This window comes from Homo sapiens, chromosome 15, assembly GCF_000001405.40.
Source record: "Homo sapiens chromosome 15, GRCh38.p14 Primary Assembly".
Taxonomy (NCBI): domain Eukaryota; kingdom Metazoa; phylum Chordata; class Mammalia; order Primates; family Hominidae; genus Homo; species Homo sapiens.
This window is the reverse complement of record NC_000015.10, coordinates 85,206,115-85,229,415: the sequence shown is the minus strand read 5'-3', so window position 1 is coordinate 85,229,415 and position 23,301 is coordinate 85,206,115. Positions and strand designations below refer to the sequence as shown.

General features: G+C 43.9%; 1 long non-coding RNA gene and 3 pseudogenes across 5 annotated transcripts in view, besides 1 other annotated feature; 3 read left to right on the top strand and 1 right to left on the bottom strand.

The window, feature by feature from the left end:
- The window catches only part of LOC727751 (golgin A2 pseudogene), a 31,360-nt pseudogene that overhangs the window by 5,393 nt on the left and 2,666 nt on the right, over nucleotides 1-23,301 (top strand). The window contains 4 exon segments of one of the 2 annotated variants that reach the window (NR_102748.1): nucleotides 19,842-20,030; nucleotides 20,301-20,391; nucleotides 20,487-20,641; nucleotides 21,811-21,948. The product of NR_102748.1 is annotated as a golgin A2 pseudogene, transcript variant 2 (transcript). 2 annotated transcript variants of the gene reach the window in all.
- The window catches only part of LOC101929479 (golgin A2 pseudogene), a 29,789-nt pseudogene that overhangs the window by 5,380 nt on the left and 1,108 nt on the right, over nucleotides 1-23,301 (top strand). The window contains exons 2-7 of one of the 2 annotated variants that reach the window (NR_158179.1): nucleotides 19,498-19,586; nucleotides 19,842-20,030; nucleotides 20,126-20,217; nucleotides 20,301-20,391; nucleotides 20,487-20,641; nucleotides 21,798-21,948. The product of NR_158179.1 is annotated as a golgin A2 pseudogene, transcript variant 1 (transcript). Of the gene's footprint in view, nucleotides 1-19,497; nucleotides 19,587-19,841; nucleotides 20,031-20,125; nucleotides 20,218-20,300; nucleotides 20,392-20,486; nucleotides 20,642-21,797; nucleotides 23,103-23,301 lie in introns of those variants that run through there. The other variant, NR_160936.1, reaches the window with a different exon arrangement.
- Nucleotides 2,555-9,711, bottom strand: LOC105370948 (uncharacterized). Its single transcript, XR_932566.3, has 2 exons — nucleotides 9,383-9,711; nucleotides 2,555-4,182 (listed from the first exon to the last, which is right to left on the bottom strand). It is a non-coding gene; the product is annotated as an uncharacterized LOC105370948 (long non-coding RNA).
- RN7SL428P (RNA, 7SL, cytoplasmic 428, pseudogene) lies at nucleotides 19,117-19,363 on the top strand (annotated as a pseudogene).
- Nucleotides 21,577-22,078: an enhancer, noted in NCBI's record as "H3K4me1 hESC enhancer chr15:85750569-85751070 (GRCh37/hg19 assembly coordinates)". NCBI's record gives its function as "activates a minimal SCP1, AML or CMV promoter by ChIP-STARR-seq in naive H9 embryonic stem cells {active_cell/tissue: H9 hESC(naive)}" and the evidence as "EXISTENCE:reporter gene assay evidence [ECO:0000049][PMID:30033119]".

Sequence of the window (23,301 nt, the reverse complement as noted above, 5' to 3'; positions counted from 1 at the left end):
TTATTTCCTTTTTTTTTTTTGAGACGGAGTTTCTCTCTTGTTGCCCAGTAAATTAGCCCATGTAAATATTTCTGTTTGTATCTCTTGAAAGTAAAGACTCTTTTAACCATGGATGAGTGTCTTGATCAAATCAACATGGCTTGTTCATGTCGATACCATTTGCTCAGAGGGGAAAGATTAAGGGAAAAATGGGGTTGGATTTGAAATGCCAGGACCTGTCTACTGGGTTTGTGATTTGTTATTCTCTAAAGTTGTAGCTCTTAAAACAAAGAAAGGAGTGAGTTTGGCCTATTCATTAACTTTTACTCTTTAGACAGTTCAAATGTTTATTGAGTTCTTCTACAGGGCGAGCCCTGCCTTCTTCATGCTTACCAAGAAGCATTTTTACGCGGTTTCTCTAATGTTTGGGTGAACGGTACCTCACTAAGTTGTTTTTCACGCACGTGCGTGCTCGTTCCTGAAGAGTCCTGTCCAGGTGCTCTGCCCGCTTTTCCTTTCAGGCTTCTGTATCAGCTGCCGTTTCCCTATAGAACGTGCCCTGACCTCCACCCCTTAACCCTAACCAATTTGCCTTTACATGTCTGACCATCCATCAAGGCTCTTTTGGGTCATATTCAGTCCATGTTGATATTTCCCCTTCCTCCCTTCTTTAGTCCTTACTATTTTTGCTTTGGTCATGTTTTCTTACACTGTATTCTGTAAGCCTGTTTAATTTTTTTATGGTGGCAGGGGAAAATATTTTATAATTATGCTTTGTGCTTTTTATCTTCCACTCAATAAATGCTTGGTAAATATTTGTTTTATTGAATGTATGAGCCTATTCTAGCTATATTGTGCTTGAACAAAAATCTTAACTGCCTTGTAAGTTAACTGCTAAGAATTTGTCAAAAGTGCAGAGATAACATCAAGAGCTTGTCATGGATAGTACAAAAAGGTCTCTAAGGGCTTGATGGAAGTCTGTAAATTGACTTCCTATGAAAGAGAGTGTAAGAAGTGAAAAAAAGCAAAACAGAGTAGATGTTTTACTCTGTTTGCCAAGGGATTTGTGCTATTTTTTTCCTGTTTTATAAATTTGCCCTAATCTTAAATAATGAAGGGAAAAGAGCACTCTTTTTCAACCAAGGAATCCTTTTTATACTTCTTTTCTGTGAAGCCATGTTATGAAAGATTGTTATACAAACTTAAGTATAGTTTTTCCATCTTCAGTAACAGACCTGATTGCCATCTAGTTACTGGTTCTGATCACACAAGAATGCAAAGCAGCTTGTTCTAATAACTTGTGCAGGCCTATTGGGAACTAGTATATGGCTTTGAGTCCTTTTGAAGTATTTAACATAATTTGGCAATTCCATTACGCCTTTTATGGACTTCTTGGCATCTATGAACTCTTGGTAGGGAATCACTGTTTTAGAATGAAAAATGTCTCCCAGGAAGTAAATTAGCCGGTAAACAAATGAAACTTCATTTTTTATATGACTTGTAGAGCATAAATTATTACTCTTTCTGCATAAGTGGCTGCTTTCTAGGCTGCTTTTAGCGAGATTGTTAGAAACAAATGATTGGTGCTGTGAGGAAGAAGCAGCACTCAGGCAAAAAAGTTTTCTCAGCAAGACAATTTGCTTCTGCAAGTATGCTGCTTGCATTAGTCATGATTGCAAGAGCACACCAAACGGGGTGGAGCAGGGGTTCTTATCCCTAATGCACTCCCTACCTCTGTGTCATTCCAACATGGGCTGGGGTAGGACTGCACAATCTTAGCTGACTCAGCTGGATATTGTGAATATTTTCTCTAATAAGAAAGGGAGGGGGAATGTGAGTTACAGATTGGGGCTGGTAGGAAGAGTTGTTTACAAGGCAGGTTACTAAGCAGGTAACTAAGCTGGTAAGTAGGGTCGAGAAGGTACAGGGAAATTGTTCTTAGGAACAGAGAACAAGGAAGTTGAACAAGTTAAACCTTTGAAGAGGAACTTACTGTACCTAACAATTCCCCCCTCTTAATTTTTGTAATTCTTCCTCTTCAAACTTTTTTAGCATGTCTTTGCTTTGCTGTTCTGCTTGGTTTTCTAGAAGGAAAAGCTTATCTGAATAGGGTGGAGGAGAGCTAAGAGAGGTTTTGGTAAGTTCTGTGTCTATGAGTCTTTGCAGTAGTCCACAAATGTATGGTATGATACAGCATCCAACAAGAATAAGCACACCTATAACGATTGCAAGAGAAGTAAATATTGAGGACATTGAGCCTTTCCATTTTCCAGACCATTTCTCCATTAAACTTGTAAAGGGATCATTTATTCCAGAATTGCTTGCTAACTCATTGGATAAGGAGGTTAGGTCCTGCAAAGCTTTTGTTACTGTTCCGTCAGGGGCTGTGTTATTAGGAATAAAAGTACATCATTGGACTCCAATCATGACACAGACACCACCTTTTTCTGCTAGCATCGTATCTAGGGCTATCCTGTTTTCCCAGACTATTTAGTTAATGGGACCTAATTGGGAGGCTGTTCCCTTAATGGCATGTCTTGTGTAGTTAACAAACCTTTGTTGGTTGTAATAAATGTAGTTTATCCAATCTACATTTTTATTTACAGTTGACCACCAAAACAGCACAGATTCAAATCCTGAAGCTGTTTGATTTCGGGCCTTAAATTTATCTGGTACCCCTCGTGGAACTCCAGTAGCATCTTTATAAACGTGGGAGTCAAAGGACCCATGAAGGTCACTTCTTCTCTTCTGATTTTCTCTTCTATTATGTTAATGGAATGCTAGGGTGAAAGGGATGGCCAGTTGGACTAGAGCACAAGTACCACTCCAGTTACTTGGCAGAGTGTCCAGTAAGGGTCCACCACAATACCACCATACGTATGCTCGAGGATGAACAAGGGCAGACTGACTGGTAAGCTCTTGGGAGAGTTTAAGTTCACCGCATCCCTTTAGGTCTTCATGAAATGCCAAGTTTTCCCCTTGTTGTGAGAGACCCGAGGTAAAAATTGGTGTCAATAGATGGAGGCTGGATGGCCCTCAGGGACTGACCTGCAGGGTGTTGGACTTTAGGGAATAGCAGAGAGAGAGCTTGGCAAGATTCATTACCCCAGGCTGTGGGGTCTTGGAGAAGAGCTACCATACAGCTCATGCCCAGTTGGCTGGAAGACCATCCGAGTGGAAAGGGGACAACCTGGGCCTCTGGCCTACTGTGCGCACAAGTGTAACAGTTGCTTTTGTTTAGAGTGCGGACAGAATATTTAATCCATTCTAACCAAGCATTTGCATCTTGGTACCCTGTCTCAGTTGCTATGGTTTGTTTCAAATTTTTAACTTCTACAATGGCTTACCTTGATTTTATCCTTGGTTGAAGGAAGAACAGTGGTTTCGTTGAGAGAGAGTGTAGAAGGAGGTGGAGGAGGTGAGAAAGTAATGAAATGCATTTCAAAGGATTCTATAAGATGTGTCCCTGCTATTTTGGCTCCTATGCCGTATAAGCGACTTAAAGTAGGTTTAGGGTTGGCAGAAGTGGGGATAAGAATAGAAATTTGCACTGGATTACATTGGTTATACTGGCAGTCGGGGTGGGGAATGTTTCCTTTAACAAAGCAAACATGGTTTTAGAGACTTACAACTGCCTGTTGACAAAGCCCTGATGTTCAGTTGTCCACATAATATCATTCCAGCTGTGGCAGGCCTGTTTCCCTACATTTCTTAAGGAACAAGAGTCGTAATGGGGGAGGCTTTTGTCTGAAAGGGACGGAGATACTTCTCTGAGGCTGAGAGTTGCTTTTGACTTTGGAGATCTCCACAGGATATAACAAGGCAAGCATCAAAGGTAATAGTTTGGGGTGAGCTCGACCTAGTTACATTAATAACGAGAGGACTAGCAATAGAAGGGGAAAAGAAATATAGCATAAGAGGATCAAACCCGTTTTAGCTTTAACTTGGTTGGAATTGGCCCTGAAATAGCTGTCCATGATTCTGGAGTGGGTGGTGCTCTTTTGACTCAGGTATGGTGAGTCCATTCTTTTTCAGTGGTGTGGACGGCTGTCTCAGTCATTAGAAACACTAGATAATGTCCCTCCCAGGTGGGCTTGAGCTTCCTTTCTTTCTGACCTCTGATGAGAATGTGATCACTGTCCGGGCTGGTGGTGGTGAACTGGAAATTCAAGGGGTGGTGTATGTGCCAAGAGGCCTTTAGTCCTAAGGAAAGAGAAAGTGGAGGATAGACCAAGTATATAGTTCTTGAGAAACAGATCTTTTGTTTCGAACGAGGAATGTCAGCAGTGGAGTGTAGATAAGGCAACTCATACAGCATTTCATAAGGAGGTGAGCTGACATCTTTCCTAGGGGCAGTTTGGAATCTTCACAAGGCCATGGGGAGGCATTTAGTCCATGGCAACCGAGTCTCTAGGACTAATTTGGTTAGGTGGTTTTTCAGAGTCTGATTCATTCTTTCTACTCTTCCTGATGAAGGTGGGTGCCAGGGGTTATGGTAGTCCCATGTTATATCTAGTACTTGGGCTAGTTTCTTAAGAACATGTGCAGTGAAATGAGTCCTGTTGTCTGAATCAGCATTTTCTATTAATCCAAACCTGGGTATAATATTTTCAACTAATGCCTTGAGTACATTACTAGCAGTTGCACTTGAAAAGGGAATAGCTTCTACCCAATGAGTAAGGTGATCTATCACTAATAAATATTTTAAGTGACCAATTGGGGGCATTTCGGCATAATCAATTTGGACACTTTGGAACAGCCTTAATCCTGGATTTCTCCCTCCAACAGGTGGTTTTCTGAGGATCTGCTTATTAGTCTTCTTACATACTAGGCAACTATCTGTAACTTGTCTTGCCAAAATGTAAATTCCTATACATCTGTAGACCCCGAGGACTGCATCACACTTAGCTTGAGGTCCCTAATGAGTCCCTTGATGCAGATGAAAGAGGATTTCCCTCATGAGGGGTTTGGATAACATTTCTCTTTGGTCTGGTGACACCCATTTCCCTTCTGAATTTTCTTTGGCTCCTATTTTTATTAATTTTTCCTTTTCAGCGGGAGAAAAGATGGGGACTGCAGTCGAGGGAGGAAGGCAAGGGGCTAAGTGAAAAACAGGCATTTTCAGAGGAAACGGCAGTGTGTTTGGCTATTTGATCTGCTAGGTTATTCCTTCCGCTTTGAAAAGAAAGACCTTTCTGATGTCCTGGAACATGGACAATAGCTATTCTGGCAGCTGCAGGTTATCTAATACTTGGGTGATTAATTCTTTGTGGCCCAGGTCTTGGCCTTTGCTATTAATAAGATCTCGTTCAGTCCAAATTTTTCCAAAGGTGTGAGCTGCCCCAAAGGCATACTTGGAATCAGTATAAATAGTCCGTTCTTGGTTTTGCAAGTGCTTTAAGGCTTGATTTAATGCAAACAATTCATTCACATGTTTGGGCAGACCAATTATTTGGCAGGCTTCCTGACTCTACTTCTTCAAGTGCCTCCCCATCTACTACTGAGTACCTATTACGCCTTTTTCCTTCAATTACTTGGGAAGAGCCATCTATAAAGAAGCCCTGCCCCGTTTTGTAAGGGGTCTCTCTTAAATCAGGCCTAACTTTTGTATGATCATTAAATCTAAACACTCATGCTCAGGTCTCTTTAGATTTGAATCTCCAGTCAGGAAACCTCTGGGTTAAGTGAATTATCAGTGGTTAGTGTTAAATCATCTCTTTCTAACAGGATAGCTTCATACTTTAAAATTCTCAAGTCAGTAAGCCACCTTCCTGCCTTTTAATTTAAGATGGCTCTAACCTGATGGGGCATGTTTACAACTAACTTTCCCCCAAAGGTTAGTTTTCTGCTTTCTTTAGTTAACAAGGCGGTAGCTGCAATGGATTGAAACATTCAGGCCATCCACAGGTTACTGGATCTAAAACTTTTGATAGGAGATCCATGGGTTGCTGGTGACCTCCGTGTTCTTGGGTAAGGACCCCTAAAGCTACCCCCTTATTTATGTTAACAGAAAGGTGAAATGGCTTTTCTAGGGAAGGCAAAGCTAAAACAGAGGCAGTTATAAGCAGATGTTTTAGCTCCTCAACCTGGTGGAGTTCTTCAGAAGTCCAGAGGAGAGGGTCAGGCTTTTCTTGGGTGATTTTTAGGTAGAGAGGCTTTATGACAAGGGCATATGAGTCAATCCATAAGCGGCAATATCCGGCTATCCCTAGGAATTTTCTGAGTTCTTGTTTAGTCTTAGGCAAAGGTATGGATACAATCCCTTCAACCCTCTCAGGCCCTATCCTTCGTTTGCCGTTACTTATTAAGTGTCCTAGGTATTTAACTTCAGGCTCTATGAATTGAAGCTTTCTCTTTGAAACCCATAGCCCCTCTCCTTACAAATGGTTAAGGATATGGATGGAGAAAGCAGATACCTTTTCTATAGCCTAACCGGATATTAATAAGTCATCTACGTACTGGAGCAGACATATACATTTTGGGGTATAAACTTGTTCTAACACTTGTTCTAGAATTTGACCAAAGAGATTAGGGGAATCTGTGAAGCCCGGGGGTAGAGCTGTCTATCGATACTGTTGCTGTCATCCAGAATGGGGATCTTCCCATTCGAAAGCAAAAATGTCTCAGCTCTCCTCATCCAAGGAGCATGCTCAAAAGGCATCTTTTAAACCTATTACTGTAAACCATTGATGTTCATATGGAATTTTACTGAGAATGGTTTAAGGATTAGGGACAACAGGATGGGTAGTCTAGACTGTCTGGTTGATGGCCCAGAGGTCTTATGCTAGTCGACATGACCTATCTGGTTTCTTCACAGGCAGTATTGGGGTGTTATAAGGGGACATACAGGGTTCAAGGAGCCCATCCTTGATGAGGCTTTCAATTACAGGTTTCAGGCCTATTCTGCCTTCTAAAGGAATAGGATATTGCTTTCTTCTTACTATTTCTCCAGGGGTTTTTAACTTTATATGTATAGGGGGAATTTGGAGTTTTCCCCAATTTCCTTCCCTTGCCCAAACATCAGGATGAATGTATGTTTCTTCTGCAGTGGTGAGCAGGTTTAATGAAGTGTAGAATCCTTCTGAGCCAATACGTAAACCTATACCTAATTTTAACATTAAGTTTCTTCCTAATAGATTAGTTCCTGCCTCTGAAATTAACAAAAATTCAACATTAGCTGAGCAGTTTTTACATCTAATTTCTGTTTCTTTTAAAATTTTTAGTTTGATTCCCTCTCCTTTTACCCCTGAGACTACAAGCTCCTCTGAGGACCAGGTTATATTGTGGGGGAAGGTAACAAACAGAGGAGCAGGCTGCTCCTGAGTCTACTAAAAAGGTCATAAGCTCAGATTTGGGTTCCACTTCTAAATTTATCAAGGGCTCTTGGTGGGATTCAAGGTAAAAGAGACAGAGCCCCTAACCCCCCTATTCCTCCTCAAAGGTCGTAAGTGGGATGACTTCTCTTTCTGATTTTAATTTGGGACAATACCTCTTGAAGTGGCCTACTTTCTCACAATTGAAGCATTGATTCTGTCTCTTCTCTCTATTTTTGGGTTTCTCGGCTTTGCCTCCTTATGTTCTTTATATGGCTTAGGAAGTGGGGGCCTAGGATCTTTATAGGTTTTGGCTCTCGGGAGGCTTTGTTTGGGAGTGTGTGGGTCTCTGGGTAACAGAGAGTAATACTGGTGTGTTTTATCCTTTGGGGCCCCCTGTTGGAAGGTGGATAACATAATTTTCATTTTTTCTTTTTGCTTCTCCTCATCCCTCCTTACACACACTTTCTGAGCTTCTCTAAGAAGCTCGTTCGTGGGATGGTCCTTCCAATTTCCTATCTTTTGTAATTTCCTTGTGATATCTGGCTGTTAGTAACAAAATGAAGCTTTAACATTCACTGCCTAAGAGGATCTTCTAAATCTAGGCCAGCATATTTTCTCATTTGTTCTTTCAACCTGTCTAAAAGTTCGATAGGCCCTTCATCTTTCCTTTGTTGTATGTCGAATGCTCGAGTAAGATTTTGGGTTCGGAGTACTGACTCCCGAATCCCTTTTATTATCATTTCCCTAAGTTCTTGCGTATCCTCTTCAGTGGGCTGCGTTATTATTGTCCCAGCAGGGGTCTTGGTTGGGGAATTTTTGATCCGCTGCATGAATGTTTTGGCCAGGAGGGTGTTCATGTTCCCAGGCTACCATAGCAGCTCTACAGATGATGCTTCTTTCTTCCCCTGAGAAAAGGATGCCTAGGATGGACATTAACTCAGCCCAAGTATATATAACTGTGGTCCTAGAAATTGGTTAATTCGATCTGCTATTCCACTGGAGTTGTCTAATAGTGTGGCTTGAACTCTGTTTTTAGGTTTTGGACCTCCGAGCTGGTTAAAGGAGCATTTACAAAGTGAATACCTCCTCCTCGTAGGGACACCTCTCTTCAGGGGAAGAGAGGTGGAGCTAATTCTCCCGAGGTAGAGGGGAAGGGGAAGTTCTGAATATCCCTTTTACATTGCTCTATCTCACATTGAAGTCCTTTCAGGGAAGAGTACTTAGGGTGATAGTGAGCAGGCTGTTGGGACAATTCCCAAGAGGCAGGGTTATAAAGAGGGGGAACAATGTGGGTAGGAGAAGGGTCTGGGACAACTGCCTCTGCTTGAGGGGGAGGGAGGTTAGGGGTATTGGACGGGGGAAGGTGGTGGAGGAAGTTCCATGTGTTGGTGAGCTGTCTAGGAACAGGGACCTTATCTTTCTCAGAGGAGTTAATTTCTGACTTGCTTTTCAGGATTGATTCCTGAGTCCAAATGAAACAACAATATTTTATCATTTGCTGCTTTTTCTTGTATTTAGTCCTTTCACTCTCTTTCCAATATTTTAGCATAAGCCCTAGGGGACTATCAGGAGGAATGTTATTGTTGCTAGCTTTATCCTTTTTCTCCCCTGCATTACTTGAGGTATTTCCCATCTTGAAAAGGGATTGGGGTGAGGCTCAATTTCCCCTACTAGAAATTTCTTCCCAGTTACGAGAGGTTTGTATAAGGCTCAACCTCTCCTACTGGAGATTTCTCACCTTTCCTTTCCTTTCCTTTCCTTTCCTAGAGGCTCAACCCCCCTGCTGGAGGTTTCTTGCACTTTTCTCCTTTCGCTTCATCCTTCTCTGGCTGCTTCCCTCACGGGAACGTTGGTTTCCTCTTAGCAATGGCTGTTTCAGTAGAAACCCCTGACCCAGACTCCTTTACAGAAAGGCTACCTTAAGCTGTATAAGGTGACCACAGAACTGCAGATCTGGACTGAACACTTGCTTTGCACTCAATTGTGAGTCTCAACACACACTTTCAATCTCCAAGATATCCCAACCACCAAGAAAATACTTTGTCGCTCTTGTGATGTTTCTTACGTTGGTCTGTGCACATAGTTACCTGGTCACCATGGTATGTGAGGATCCTTTTCTCTTAAGTTGTTGGTCTGTTCCTTTCCAGACTGCTGAGAGTCCGGGTTTATTCATCACACTGGGTGGGTCCTGATCCCTCACCATGAGGCCACCTCAATGAGGCAGTGGGATGCTTCTCCTCACTATTGGTGACTGGAGACCCTTTTCTCAGAGGAGAATGGGAATTCCGGACGAGCCCCCAGATTGTTAGAAACAAATGATCAGGCTGGGCGCAGTGGCTCGCCCCTGTAATCCCAGCACTTTGGGAGGCCGAGGTGGGCGGATCATGAAGTCAGGAGATCGAGACCATCCTGGCTAACATGGTGAAATGCCGTCTCTACTAAAAAAAAAAAAATACAAAAAAATTAGCTGGGCGCAGTGGTGGGTGCCTGTAGTCCCAGCTACTCAGGAGGCTGAGGCAGGAGAATGGCGTGAACCTGGGAGGTGGAGCTTGCAGTGAGCTGAGATCAAGCCACTGTGCTCCACCCTGGGCAACAGAGCGAAACTCTGTCTCAAAAAAAAAAAAAAAAAAAGAAAGAAAAAAGAAACAAATGATCAGTGCTGCAAGGAAGAACCAGCACTCAGGAAAAAAAGTTTTCTCAGCAAGACAACTTACTTCTGCAAAAGAGTGCTGTTTGCATTAGTCACGAATGCAAGAGCACACCGAGCAGGATAGAGCAGGAGTTTATATCCCTAACGCAGTCCCTACCTCTCTGTCATTCCCACATGGGCTGGAGTCGGACTACACAATCTAAGCAGACTTGATTTGCTATCGCGAATATTCTCCCTAATAAGGAAGGGAGAGGGAATGTGAGTTACAGGTTGGGACTGATGGGAAGAGTTGTTTACAAGGCAGGTAACTGAGCAGATAACTAAGCAGGTAAATAGGGGTGAGAAGGTACAGGGAAATTGTTCTTAGGAACAAAGAACAAGGAAGTTGAACAGGTTAAACCTTTGAAGAGGAACTTACTGTACCTAATAAGTTTTTTTGATTGGCTAATTAAATGTCTATTCATTATTGCCAAAAAGTGCCTACCCCAACAACAAGATACCAAATTTTAGAAAATGTTGGAGCTCTCTCTGAATCTAGGAGGAAGTGAGTAGTTTAGCTTTTATTTAGTAGTTAGGACCTTAAGTAAATCACTTTTTTTACTGTGTTTCTGTATAACATAGATAATATTTTTTGCCCTGCAAGAGAGCATATAGAGGAAAGCTCTTTGGCAGCGATACTGTGCCCTATGAATAAAAAAGTGATGGTGTCATTTGTGGCTGAATAACAGTTTATTTTGAGAATGCTTTATAACAGCTTTTCATGGGAAATAAAGCAATGCTGTTAACTTCATCTTGCATTTTTCTCATTTTTACTATGATTAAAAAGTAGTCAGCTTGTACAAAGGAAAGAAACAAGCCTTGACTCAGGAGCCTAGGACTTTTTCTTTGGTTTGCCCTCCTGGAACAGATTACCTTTCCAAATTGAATTTGTGGAGGAGCATTGGGAAATATCAGAAATGTCATATTAAGCACCTCAGTGGTACTTTTAATAGAGGAGTTATTCAGAAATTATACTAGGCAGATAGAGAGGGTAAGGAGGCCTCAGTAAGGCTTTCCCTTTTAATAGAAACAACTCCAGAAACATTTCTTTTTCTTTTCTTTTTATCTTTTTTTTGGAGACGGAATCTTGCTCTGTCACCCAGGCTGGAGTGCAGTGGTGTGATCTCAGCTCACTGCAGCCTCTGCCTCCCAGGTTCAAGTGAATCTCCTGCCTCAGCCTCCTGAGTAGCTGGGACTACAGGCTGCCAAGCTTTGATATGCAAATGCCAGCACTTAGAAACTGTGTCCATTCAACATGGAGATTCCCACCCTCTTCTTCTAGTCACCACCTCAAGGTGACACCTCCAGATGACCCCATGTGTGCAGGACAACATGGTGACCTACATTTGCATATTAAAAGGCTAGGGTGGGAGGGCCACGTTTTTCTCGGGCTACATGAATGACCTGCCTGGTCAAACCAATGCCCTGGGCCCTGTGCAAATCAGACACCACCTCCTCCAGCCTCCCAATATAACCGAGTACTGTTCTGCCACACACGGGGCTTTTTCTCTGTTCAGACCCCCTTTTTCTGTACCGCAGGGAGCCTTTCTTCTTTCTTGTCTATTAAACTTTCTGCTCCTTAAAACCACTCCTGTGTGTCCATGTCGTTTAACTGGCGTGAGACAAAGGACCCCGATGTTTCTCCCGTTTTCAGAGCCATATCACTTTGAGTCCAGAGGAATTATTTTCATTTATCTGACCAATTTATAATATAGGGTCAAATTCCTAGTGGTTATCCTCCCTCATCCCCATTTTTATACCCTTCCTTGAAAGGAACAGGTATATGAAGAGGAGACAGGTTTCCCTTTTGTGAATAGTATATCCCTTAGTATCTTGAATTTTTTTTGGTGGGGGTGGGGGGAGTTAAACTTACTTAGACCTGGTAAAGGGCAGTATTTGATAAATGTCAGCTAGTTTAGGGTTAGGGAATTGAGTTGAATGGAGATAGTCACTGCCAAATGTAAAGCATGACTGGAGAGCCACAGTGATGAAGCCAGGGTCCCTTTCTCCAGATCCTTTGTAACAGTGTTATGTGATCTCTTCTAGAAGATTGTTCTGAAAGATAATGCCAACTCGGAACCTAGGAAACCATCCAGTGGGTTTCTGCAGCTTAGGTGGTTCAAATCCTCATCAGCACGTTTGTTTTCTCTGCCTCAGTTTGCTTACAGTGATGTTCTCAGTAGCTGTAATTGCTGTCTTTGAATACTTAAGCATTTTTTTTTAGCTCACAGGGGTATGTGTGCATTTTTCTTTTACCAAGTGTTAGAACTTTGACTCTGCTTTTGTGGGCTCTGGTTTAGCAACTTGGTTGTTTAGTTGTAAAATGATTAGTAGGGAAAACCGTGTGTGTGTGTGTGTGTGTGTGTGTGTGTGTGTGTGTATTTTAAGTTTCTTTTGTTCTCAGAGCACTTAGAATTTTATATGGAAATTCTATCAGTTTACTTGATTCTCCACCCCACATTTCTTAAACAGCAAAGTATGAAGGTAATGCGTCCCATAACCAGCCTTCAGAAGAATTACAGCTGCTGTGTCTCTGAACTTTCAAGAAGTTTGTGCATCAATTTTCAAAAAATTATGAAATCCTTGAAGATAGCTGTGTTCTACATTTGGAAAGATACAAAAACTGAACCTTCTAGCAGGCAGTTTTGCTTGCTGGTGCTTGAGATAGAGCCACACATTGGTCTCAGTGGATTTATGGAGAAAAATAGGTACAGAAAGTTATTTCTAAATAAGACCAAAAATCCTTTCCTTAAGCAGTGACAGGTAAAGAGGTTGTCTTGGCTAATATTGAATTGTGTTGCCCTTGATTGAGACAGTTTTATGGTGGGGATGGTAGTGGTGATAAACTTGTTTGAAATTTGTCCACCTATAGTAACCTTTGTGGTAGCTGTCACAGACAGCTTCATCCTCACAGGCCCTAAAATTACTATAAAACTAATAGATTGGAGGAGAAACAAAGGACCTGAATAATTAGATGCTTAGATAATTGTTCTGTGTTTTCATAACAAGTGAAAAAGAGCAGTGTTAGAAGTACTTAAACTTTCCATGTAAGGAGCACTGCCTGAATTTATATTGTGATTTTAGAGCATCATTCACTGTTTAAAAACAGGCATATTGTGGGTCATATTTTAAAGACAAACAGAAAACTTATCTTTTCAAGATGGATCTAAAGCTTAACCTTATCAAAATTACAAAATGTGAAGGATATGATTGAAAAATATTAATGCATAGGTTTAAATATTGGTCATCATTTTAGATGTCTTTCAAAATAGGTTGTCTCTTAAATATTAAACTGAACAAACATTGAACTTGTTGTAGAGTTTGTGCTCAAGGTTAAGTTTCCTGGGGTGATGGATATTTGATAATATGGATAACAAAAAGTTCTTAAGAAATTTAGAAAATTTTTAGGCAAAACTAGAAAATAATACTGATAATTCTACCACTCAGAATGTACCACTATCAGAATTTTGTATCTTTCAGTCATCTGCTCATCTCTTTTCTCCTTTGCTTGTATGTGTTCCCTCTCCCTTAAAAAATCAGATTTTTTTTTGTAATCTGCATTTTCACTCAATATTGTAGATCTGTGTCATAAGTTACTCCTCTACAGTGCCTTCAGTTATTGTGTGCTTTGTGTTGGATGACTGTACCATCTAGTCTTTCGTGTTTCCTGGTACTGACTACATAGGGGTGAGTGTGTGTGTGTGTGTGTGTGTGTGTGTGTGTGTGTGTGTGTGTGTGTATATTTTTTTTCTACCTTAACTAATGCTTTGGACATCATCAACAGGTAGAGCTAAATCCTTGAAACCTTCCAAGTGGTGGCTTTCAGTTATTGCTGAATTGGTTTTTAGAGATGGAACAAATTATATTGTATGGAAACTTTTTTTTTTTTTTTGAGACAAAGTCTCACCTTGTCACCCAGGCTGGAGGGCAATGGCATGATCTTGGCTCACTAAAACCTCCACCTCCCAGGTTCAAGTGATTCTCTTGCCTCAGCCTCCCGAGTAGTTGGGATTACAGGGGCCTGCCACCATGCCCGGCTAATGTTTGTGTTTTTACTAGAGATGGGGTTTCATCATGTTGGCCAGGCTTGTCTCGAACTCCTGACCTCAGGTGATCCACTCACCTTGGTCTCCCAAAGTACTGGGATTACAGGCATGAGCCACCATACCCAGCCTTTTTTTCTTCTAGGTACCAGCTTTTATTTATCAGATTGGTATAAATGTTAGAAAGCGTGCAATGAAATGGGCATTTTCACAGTCGTGGCAGAAAGTATAATTATCTTTGACTTTCTAGAAAGCAGTCTGGCATTCTAGAAACTTGCCTAACCTCTTCCCATTTAGACAAGATGAGTTCTGACAGGGCCAGCCTTGTCCCTGTGATTCCGTATCTCCCAGAAAGAGAGGTCTAGTGTCAGGGAAAACCCAGATTTTCTTGGCTTAGCCCACCTGACAGCTAATCACTGGAAATGGGGTGGGCCGGTAGAGTCCTTTGGTCAGGTTTTGTGTCAAGAGAGGGATGTGGAAAGATGGGAGAGAGGTAGCAAAACTGGCCTCAATGGAACTATGTAAGTTAACATAGAATGGCAAAGGAATGTTTCTTCCAAGGAAGAAATTCTAGGGAAGGAATAAAGTGGAGGGGAAGGCAGCAGTTCTCAAAGTTTTGGGGTCAGGATTCCTTTACACTCTTAAAAGTATATTGAGGGCCCAAGGAGCTTTTGTGTATGTAGGTTATATCTATTGGTATTTATCACTAGAAATTAAATCAGAAATACTTAAAATATTCCTTAAAAGCTCACAAAATATTGTTATAAATGCTTTTATGATAAGAAAATTTCTAAACCCAAGGTAGTACAGTCTTACGTCTTTTGCAAATTTCTTTGATGTTTGATATGTCATTTGTACCTGCATTCAATTTATTGTGTGATATTTGCTTGAAAAAATGTGAACAAAGGACAGTCTCATACAGATAGGCATTTCAGATCATTATGGATATTTCTTTTTGCTTTCTTTCTTTTTTTTTTTTTTGAGATGGGGTCTTTCTCTGTCTCCCAGGCTGGAATGCAGTGCTATGATCATGGCTCACTGGAGCCTCATTCTCTGGGGACTCAGGTGATCCTCCCACCTCAGCCTCCAGAGTAGCTGGGACTACAGGTGTGTACTACCCCACCTTGCTAATTTTTTGTATTTTTTGTAGAGATAGGGTTTTGCCATAGGTATTCAAATAGAAAGTTTTGTTTTTGTTTTAGTATATAAAGAAATATAACTTTCCATGTTGGAAAAATTTTTAAAACCTTTTTTTAATTTTAAAACTCATAAGCAACCATTGTTGAGAAAATTGGTAAAGTACAGAAAAGATAAAAGAAAAAAATTAAAGTCTCCCATAATTTCTCTATCTAATATAACCACTATTGACTGTTGACATGATGGTCATTTTCTACCAGTATATAGTTTTTCTTTGCTATTAAAATACATAACCCTTACACATATGCTTAATAGTTGAGGTCATATTCTCTAAAGTTTAAAATTCTTTTTTTTTTTTTTTTTTTTTTTTTTTTTTTTTTTTTTGAGACAGAGTCTTGCTCTGTCACCCAGGCTGGAGTGCAGTGCCGTGATCTCGGCTCACTGCAAGCTCCACCTCCTGGGTTCCCACCATTCTCCTGCCTCAGCCTCCCCAGTAGCTGGGACTACAGGCGCCCGCCACCATTCCCGGCTAATTTTTTGTATTTTTTAGTAGAGATGGGGTTTCACCGTGTTAGCCAGGATGGTCTCGATCTCCTGACCTCATGGTCTGCCCACCTTGGCCTCCCAAAGTGCTGGGATTACAGGCGTGAGCCACTGTGCCTGGCCCTTTTATATTCTTTTAAAAAGTATTTACTGTATTTTCCTGTGATGTCATAGTCTTTATAGAAAATTTATCATTATTTTCAGTTGACATGATTGTTTACCTAAAAATATCCAAAGGAACCAACTGAGAAAAACAATTTTTAAGATTACTGGTTAAAAGTTCTTTTATATAAAAATCAATAGCCTTCCCCAGTGTTAGCTATAATCACATAGAAGATATAGTGATGAAGTATTTTTTCAGGTATTTCAGCAAAAATTAAATACCTAGGAATAAACTTAGATGTGCAGGACTTTTATCAAGGACAGGACAAAATTTTGCTGAGTGGAATGAAAGATTTGCATTCTATGTTCCTGGATGAGCAGATTTCATGTTATAAATATGTTAGTTATCACCATGTCTTCATATTAATTTGTAAATGTAATTTCTGCTGGGCACAGTGGCTCATACCTGTAATCCAAACAGTTTGGGAAGCTGAGGCGGGTAGATGACAATTAGCTGGGTGTCTGTGGCACACACTTGTATTTCCAACTACTTCTGAGGCTGAGGTGGGAGGAGCACTTGAGCCTGGGAGGCAGAGGTTGCAGTGAGCCGAGATCATGCCTCTGAACTCCAGCCTAGGTGACAGAGTGAGACCCTGTCTCAAAAAAAAAAAAAAAGAACTAGAAAAGTGTGTGTGTATATATATATATATTTCATATTTTATAAATATTTATATATATAAATTGTATATATACATTTTATATTTTATATATAGTGTGTGTGTATTATATATATACACACACACAAATTTCAGTACAAATTCTGGCAGATTTATTTTTGACACTTGACAAAACGACTCTAAAATTTGTTTAGAAGAATAAGTAATAAAAAGTAATAAAGTATAGACTCTTTCAACCAGATAGTAAATAAAATATTGTGGACTATCCCTGGGCCAGACAGATAAAGGCAATGGAAGTTTAGAACCAGAGTCATGCAAACGAGAATTTAGTATAAGGAAAAGGTGGTATTTTAACTTAATACTGAAAAGATAGATTATTCTGTAAATGGTTTTAGGAGAACTATTTGAGGAAGTCTGAGTCTTAACTCCAATTTTTGTCAAAATAAGTTAGTTGGTTTAAACACATCTATTCTTAAAAATTAGAACAGAAGAATATTGGTTTGAAGATATTTTAAGAGTTAAGGCTGAGGCTGGGCACAGTGGTTCACGCCTGTAATCCCAGCACTTTGCGAGGCCAAGGTGGGAGGATTGCTTGAGCCCAGGAGTTTGAGATCAGCCTGGGCAACACAGCAAGACTCTTTCTCTCTCTCTCTCTCTCGATATAGATATACATATAAATATACGTATACAAATAGAAAAAAAAAAGAGTTAAGTTTTGTATGGAGAGCCATGAAGATAAGAGGTAAAAATTAAAGGCTTGATGGACACATGTTTACATCTCCATCAAGGGGGTTGATGGGAAAGAATGATAGACATAGCTCCATTACTGCTACCTCCTTTTAGGAAGTTGCTTCTGAACATCTAAAGATATCAGTTTTATAATAGAAATGAGTTATTTTTCAGTGTCTAAAACATCACATGAGATACATACATACATGCATACATACATAAATATGTTCATAAAGTTAAATGAAATAGGATATAAAATTGGGCCTAGTGTTTAAAAGGTAAATATATTTACATGAAGGAGAAAACAACTCACCTCCCACTCTTAGAGCCTCTGCCAGTTTATCATAGCCTAGTTTCTTGAGAGAATAAGCTACATGTCTTCACCTTTTTTCACTGAGCTCATTATACTCTGGATTCTGCCTTCATCGTTGCACTAAAATTTATCTCCTAGTTGTCAAATCCAGTGGCTCCCCTCTTAGTCCCCAAATTGACCCCTCTGCAGTATTTTGATACTGTTGATTGTTCCTTTGTTGAAACATTCCTCCATTCTTAATGTCCACCAATAAAGAGTTGGTTAAATAAAAATTATAGTGTACCGTTTTATAATAGAATATTCTGTTGTTCTGTTGTGGACCAAAAAATGCAGCCAGTCTTTCCATAAGAGCACGTGCAAACTTCTAAGATATATTAAGTAAAAAAGTAAGGCATAAAATATTGTGTATAATCTGACCCCTTTAGTACACAGTGTAAAAACATCTGTGTCTGTGCTGCTTTATACTTACTTTTTTCTCCCCTGGTGAATACAGGAAACTGTGAATAGTACAACACAATTAAAAAAAAAAAAACTGTGTGTCTGCTGCACCAGGACCTGTGATAATTGGGTATAAAAGACAAAAAAGACATGTCCCTGTCCTCTGGGAAGGGACATGATAATCAAATGAGACTTCTGTCGGATTCTTTTCTCCTGTTTTGATCTTATCACCCTTTCTTGGTCTCCTCCGATCTCTTCTTCCTTGTCCTACTTCTTCTCTTCTCATTCTGTGCTTTCTCTGAGTAATCTTTGACTCCCATTACTTAAGTCATGACCTGTGTTCCAGGGACTCCTAAATTTGTATTCATCTCCAGAGTTTCAAACCCATATATCTGTCTGTATATCATATATTTAGGGAATCTCACTTGGAGTGACATGGGTGTTCAAAATGATGATATTTAAATTTTCACGTATCCATCTCCTAGCACTCTATCTAGTCACATATGCCTAAACCTGGGAACTGTCTTAATATTCTTTTATATACACCTGTTCTGACCTCCCCCCAAAACTAGTAAATTTCTAAGACCTGTCCTTCTGAATGTCTCTTACAATTTTTCCTGTGATCTCAGTTTCTTCCTCCCATCCCTCAAATGCTTTGTGTGTGTGTGTGGTGGGGGAAGAGAGTAAAATTGAAATTTGTGGAAAACGTACTAGCCTGTCTGTCTGTCTTTCGAGGTGAAGTCTCCCTCTTGTCCCCCTGGCTGGAGTGCAATGGCACAATCTTGGCTTACTGCAACCTCCATCTCCTGGGTTCAAGCAATTCTCCTGCCTCAGCCTCCTGAGTAGCTGGGATTACAGGCACCTGCCACCATGCCCAGCTAATTTTTGTGTTTTTAGTAGAGATGGGGTTTCATCATGTTGGCCAGGCTGGTCTCGAACTCCTGACCTCAGGTGATCCACCCGCCTTGGCCTCCCAAATTGCTGGGATTACAGGTGTGAGCCACCATGCCTGGCCACTACCCTGTCTTGTTGCTTGGTATGACTCCACTACCCTGCTGCCTCTCTCCCCGTACAGCAGCATAATTTAGGAATCAGAGAGACTGAGGAGGATATATATTATTAGGTGCACCGGCCCAGTCAGATTAACATCTAAAGGACTGAGCCCTGAACAAAGAGTCAGGTTACCTTTTAAGCATTTTGTGTCGGTCATTATGCCGACAAGGTGTCCGCACTAAGTTCAGTATCAGTATGGTGACCTCCTGGGAACAGGGGGCCATCGGGTTGCCTAAGGATGGGAGAACTGGCTCAGGTCAGAAGGGGAGCAGGTCAGAATTCCTGCGCCAATCGGTAGTGGGACTGTGCCTGGGCAATATAGCAAGATCTTGGTTCTTAAAATTCAAAATAAAGAACAGCTCATTCCCCTCTGGGGAGGGGCTGGCTCAAGGTTACACAGTGAGTGTGGGGGCAGAGGCGGGCCCACTGTACCTCCCTTGTTGGGTTGTCTGAGGACCCCTCTGGCCACCCCCCACAGGAGATGGAGGAGGACATCTGGACAGTGAGCAGGAGGCGCCTCGGCCCATGCCGAACATCCCAGGGGACCTGGAGAGCCGGGAGGCCATGGTGAGCCTGACTTTCCCTGCCCCTACTTTGCCACCTTCCTCTGTGGTCCCTCCGAAACCCCCTTATGTTCTTGGTTTCCCCGCCTTCTGACTTCTGTGGACTTTCACTCCTCCTGGGAGCCAGTGGTCAGACACCATTTCACCTGTGACCAACAGGTGCACTCTGTGAGGCCCGAAAGGAAGGGGCTATGCTCCATCTGCCTGCCCCAGTTGTTATGTGTATACCCCTACAAGAATACTCACCTCTTGTCTTCAGGTGGCATTTTTCAACTCCGCTGGAGCCAGTGCCCAGGAGGAACAAAGGGTGTGCTGCCAGCCCCTGGCTCACCCAGTGGCCTCGTCCCAGAAGAAGCCAGAGGTAGCGGCCCCAGCCCCAGAGAGTGGGGGTGAGTCTGTGTTTGGGGAGACCCACCGGGCCCTGCAGGGGGCCATGGAGAAGCTGCAGGTGAGTAGGTCCTGGCATGGGCCAACAAGGGGGGCGGTGGGGCAGGACAAGGCAGGTGACTCCTGACATGTGACCCCATTATTTTGGCTCCACAGCGACTTTATGGAAGGAGAAGGTGGACCTGAAGGAGCGGGTAGAGAAACTAGAGCTTCAATTCATCCACCTCTCAGGACAGACAGACACCATAGTGAGCGAGAGGCTAGGGCACCGCTGGGGGGAGCTGCCAGGCCATCCGAGGGGCCCCAGCATCTGAGCCATGTCCTCCTGCAGGAAAGTACATCAGCCAGGGGGCAGTGTCAGAGACGCAGCACTGGGAGAGGAGGACATCGTCAGGCTGGCCCAGGACCAGGAGGAGATGAAGGTAGGGTGTGCAACATCTCGGTGGGGGTGGGGGTGGAGGTGGGGGTGAACGTGCGTGCCGGCACCGGCATGGCAGCTAACACCCCTTTCCTCCAGGTGAACCTGCAGGAGCTGCGGGGCAGGTGTTGCAGCTTGTGGGCGACCACAAGGAGGGGCATGGCAAATTTTGACCATTGCCCAGAACCCTGCTGATGAGCCCACTCTAGGAGCCCCAGTAGCCCAGGAGCTTGGGTGTGCTGACGAGCAGGGTGGTGAGTAGAGCCCTCAGGTGGGGTGGGCAGGCAGGAGCAGGGGAGGCTCGCACTGTGCTCAGATTCCCACCCCCCTCCCTCTCTCTGAAGATCTTTGTGAGGTGAGCCTCACTGATAGCGTGGAGGCTGCACCAGGAGAGGACAGGGAGGGTTCTCCCCACGACAACCCCACTGCACAGCAGATCCAGCAGCTGCTTCCTGTAATGCAGGACTCCCCAGGAGCACCCAGGCATGGGCAGCAACCCCTGCATGCCATTCTTTTTGGGCTCCCGAGAACAGGGAGATAAACACCACCATCATCTGAGAGCCGGGAAGGGGAAGGCGTAGGTGTGGGCGTGGCAAGGTTCCTGGAAAAGAGGGGCTGGAAGGGAAAGGGGAGGAAGATGGAGGGAGAAGCTAGAGCTTCATAGGTAGTGCCTGGGGGCTGTGGCAGCCCTCCCCACCCCACACACACTGGCCTCTCTCATGGCACCCAGGCAGTCCACCCACAGTTCAGACCAATGCTCAACCCCCCCGGCTTCCCTCTTCTGTGGTCACCCCATCTTCCAACCCACTGGCCCAGGGCCACCTCTTGCTTGGGGAGCCCCACCCAACAGCCACCAAGCCTGACAGAAGGAACACTGCTTGAACCAAAATGGTGAAGCTATAAGGGATGGCGGGCTGGAGTGAGCGCCAGAGGCCCCTCTCTGGGCAGTCAGAAAGCCCAGGGTCCACTGAAGGGACCCTGGGGAAGGCAGGGAGGGCAGGTAGCTAGATGCCACTGCCCGTAGACTTATAAGTCTAAGAGGGGAGCCTCAACTGGTTGGCGGGGGGCTGCAGGTTGCATAGGTGAGGCTGGGCCCTTCCTGCTGGGAAAAGCAGAAGAGGGAGACTCCGTGGCAGGAAAGGCAGGTGGGCTCGCTAGGCGGAGCTCAGCTGGGCCAGCAAGCACTGTGGTCTCCTTGGCTGAATAGCACAGGTGACCCCTAGGAGCAACAGGCCAAGGTCCGTGAGTCTGCTGGCTGGCAGTAGTGCTTCAGTAGCGCTGGCCAGGGACCCAGCCTTCAGTCACACGCTAGCAGCTGTGATGGTACCTGGGAAGGAGGGAAGGGGGCTGTGTGTCCTTGCATGGCCTATGAAGTGTGTTGTGGGATAACCGTGTGTATTGAACTCTCAGGCTTTTATCCTAGATCACCACTGGATTGCTGACAGATAGAGGAGGTGGGACCCTGACTATCACCCCTAATCTGCAGTGGATTTGGCTCTCGGCACTCCCAGGCTGGGAGCTGGATACCTGCCCTGGCAGCATGGCTCAGACTGCATGACAGGTACGGCGTGCCCAGGATGATGTGCCCAGGCCTCTGGCCGCCTGAGTCCAGCCCCCCACACAACCCCCTCCAAGCTCCCAGCCCCTACACCATAAACCATGAGCTCTGTGCCCTCTCTGATGGTTCCACATCTGCCACCTTGGGCATGGAGCCTGTTGTAAGAGCCCCCAGGCTCAGCCATGGAGACCTTGAGCAGTGGCACTGAGTCCTGTGGCTGGCAGGGAGGGAAGTGAGACAGCCAGCAGCACAAGGACAGAAAGAGGAAAGAGCAAGTCTGCAGCTCTAGAAGGGAGGGGCAGGCAGCCTGGCTCTGAGGCTCCAGGTATGCCCCCTGTGTGGAGCTGGGGCAGCGGGGCAGGCAGACCATTCATGCAGCAGGCAGTGAGGCATGTACCTACCATGGCTGATGCTCCTCAGGGGCCACTGATAGTGATTCTGAAAGACAGCATCAAATCACATGGCAGGTCCCATGCATGGGTGGGGCAGGCCTGGGGGTGGCGGACACACGCACACGCCAGATTGTGCACACACATGCTGTGAGGCCCCACGGCCCGCATGCACACTCTAACACATGCCCACAAACAACACGCATACGTCGCCCTCTCCGCCACCTCCCGGTGCCCAGCACCCTCACCGGCCGGCACGTGCCGCATGGATCTGGGGCGTGCAGCCACTCGGCACACTGAAGCACATGCGTGGGCAGAGTCACAACACAGATGCTCACCCGCACACAGAGGCATTTGCACCAGCTCCCTGCACACTCGTGCCTGGCGTGCTCAGAGGACCACCCATGCTGCTCAGGGAGACAGGGCTTGCTCACTAATGTCCGGCTGTCATTTCTCCACCTAAGAGCCTTCCATGGCTCCCTACTGCCTACAGCATTGAATCCCAACAAGTCATACTCTTTGGACTTTGAAGGTTCTCCACCCTGTGCCCCACCCTCCCCACAGAGCTCTTCATTCTGTCTCTGTTCCCTGCTTTGGCCAGTGGCTATCCTCATTGTGACCCACACTACACCTCTGCCCACACTGCAGCTCTTTACCCAGTTACCCTCCAGTTCCTCACAACGTATGCCTATCTCCGTCATGCCCCGGACTGCATTGAAGCCAGGCTGCCTTGAAGAAGCTCTCCCAGACTGCCCTTTTCCCCAAGGCAGGGTCATGATTTGCCAAAGGTTTCGTGTGTGTGTTAGCAAGACTGGAGTCAGAGCAGGCATCAAACTTTACATCCCATATGTCACACCTCACCATAGACCTGGGTGCCAAATAGCCTGAAGAGTCTGAACTCACGTTGGCAGTTAGGAAAGTGCTCCTACAGACGCATCTACGGTTAACATAGCATCCCTATGGCCAC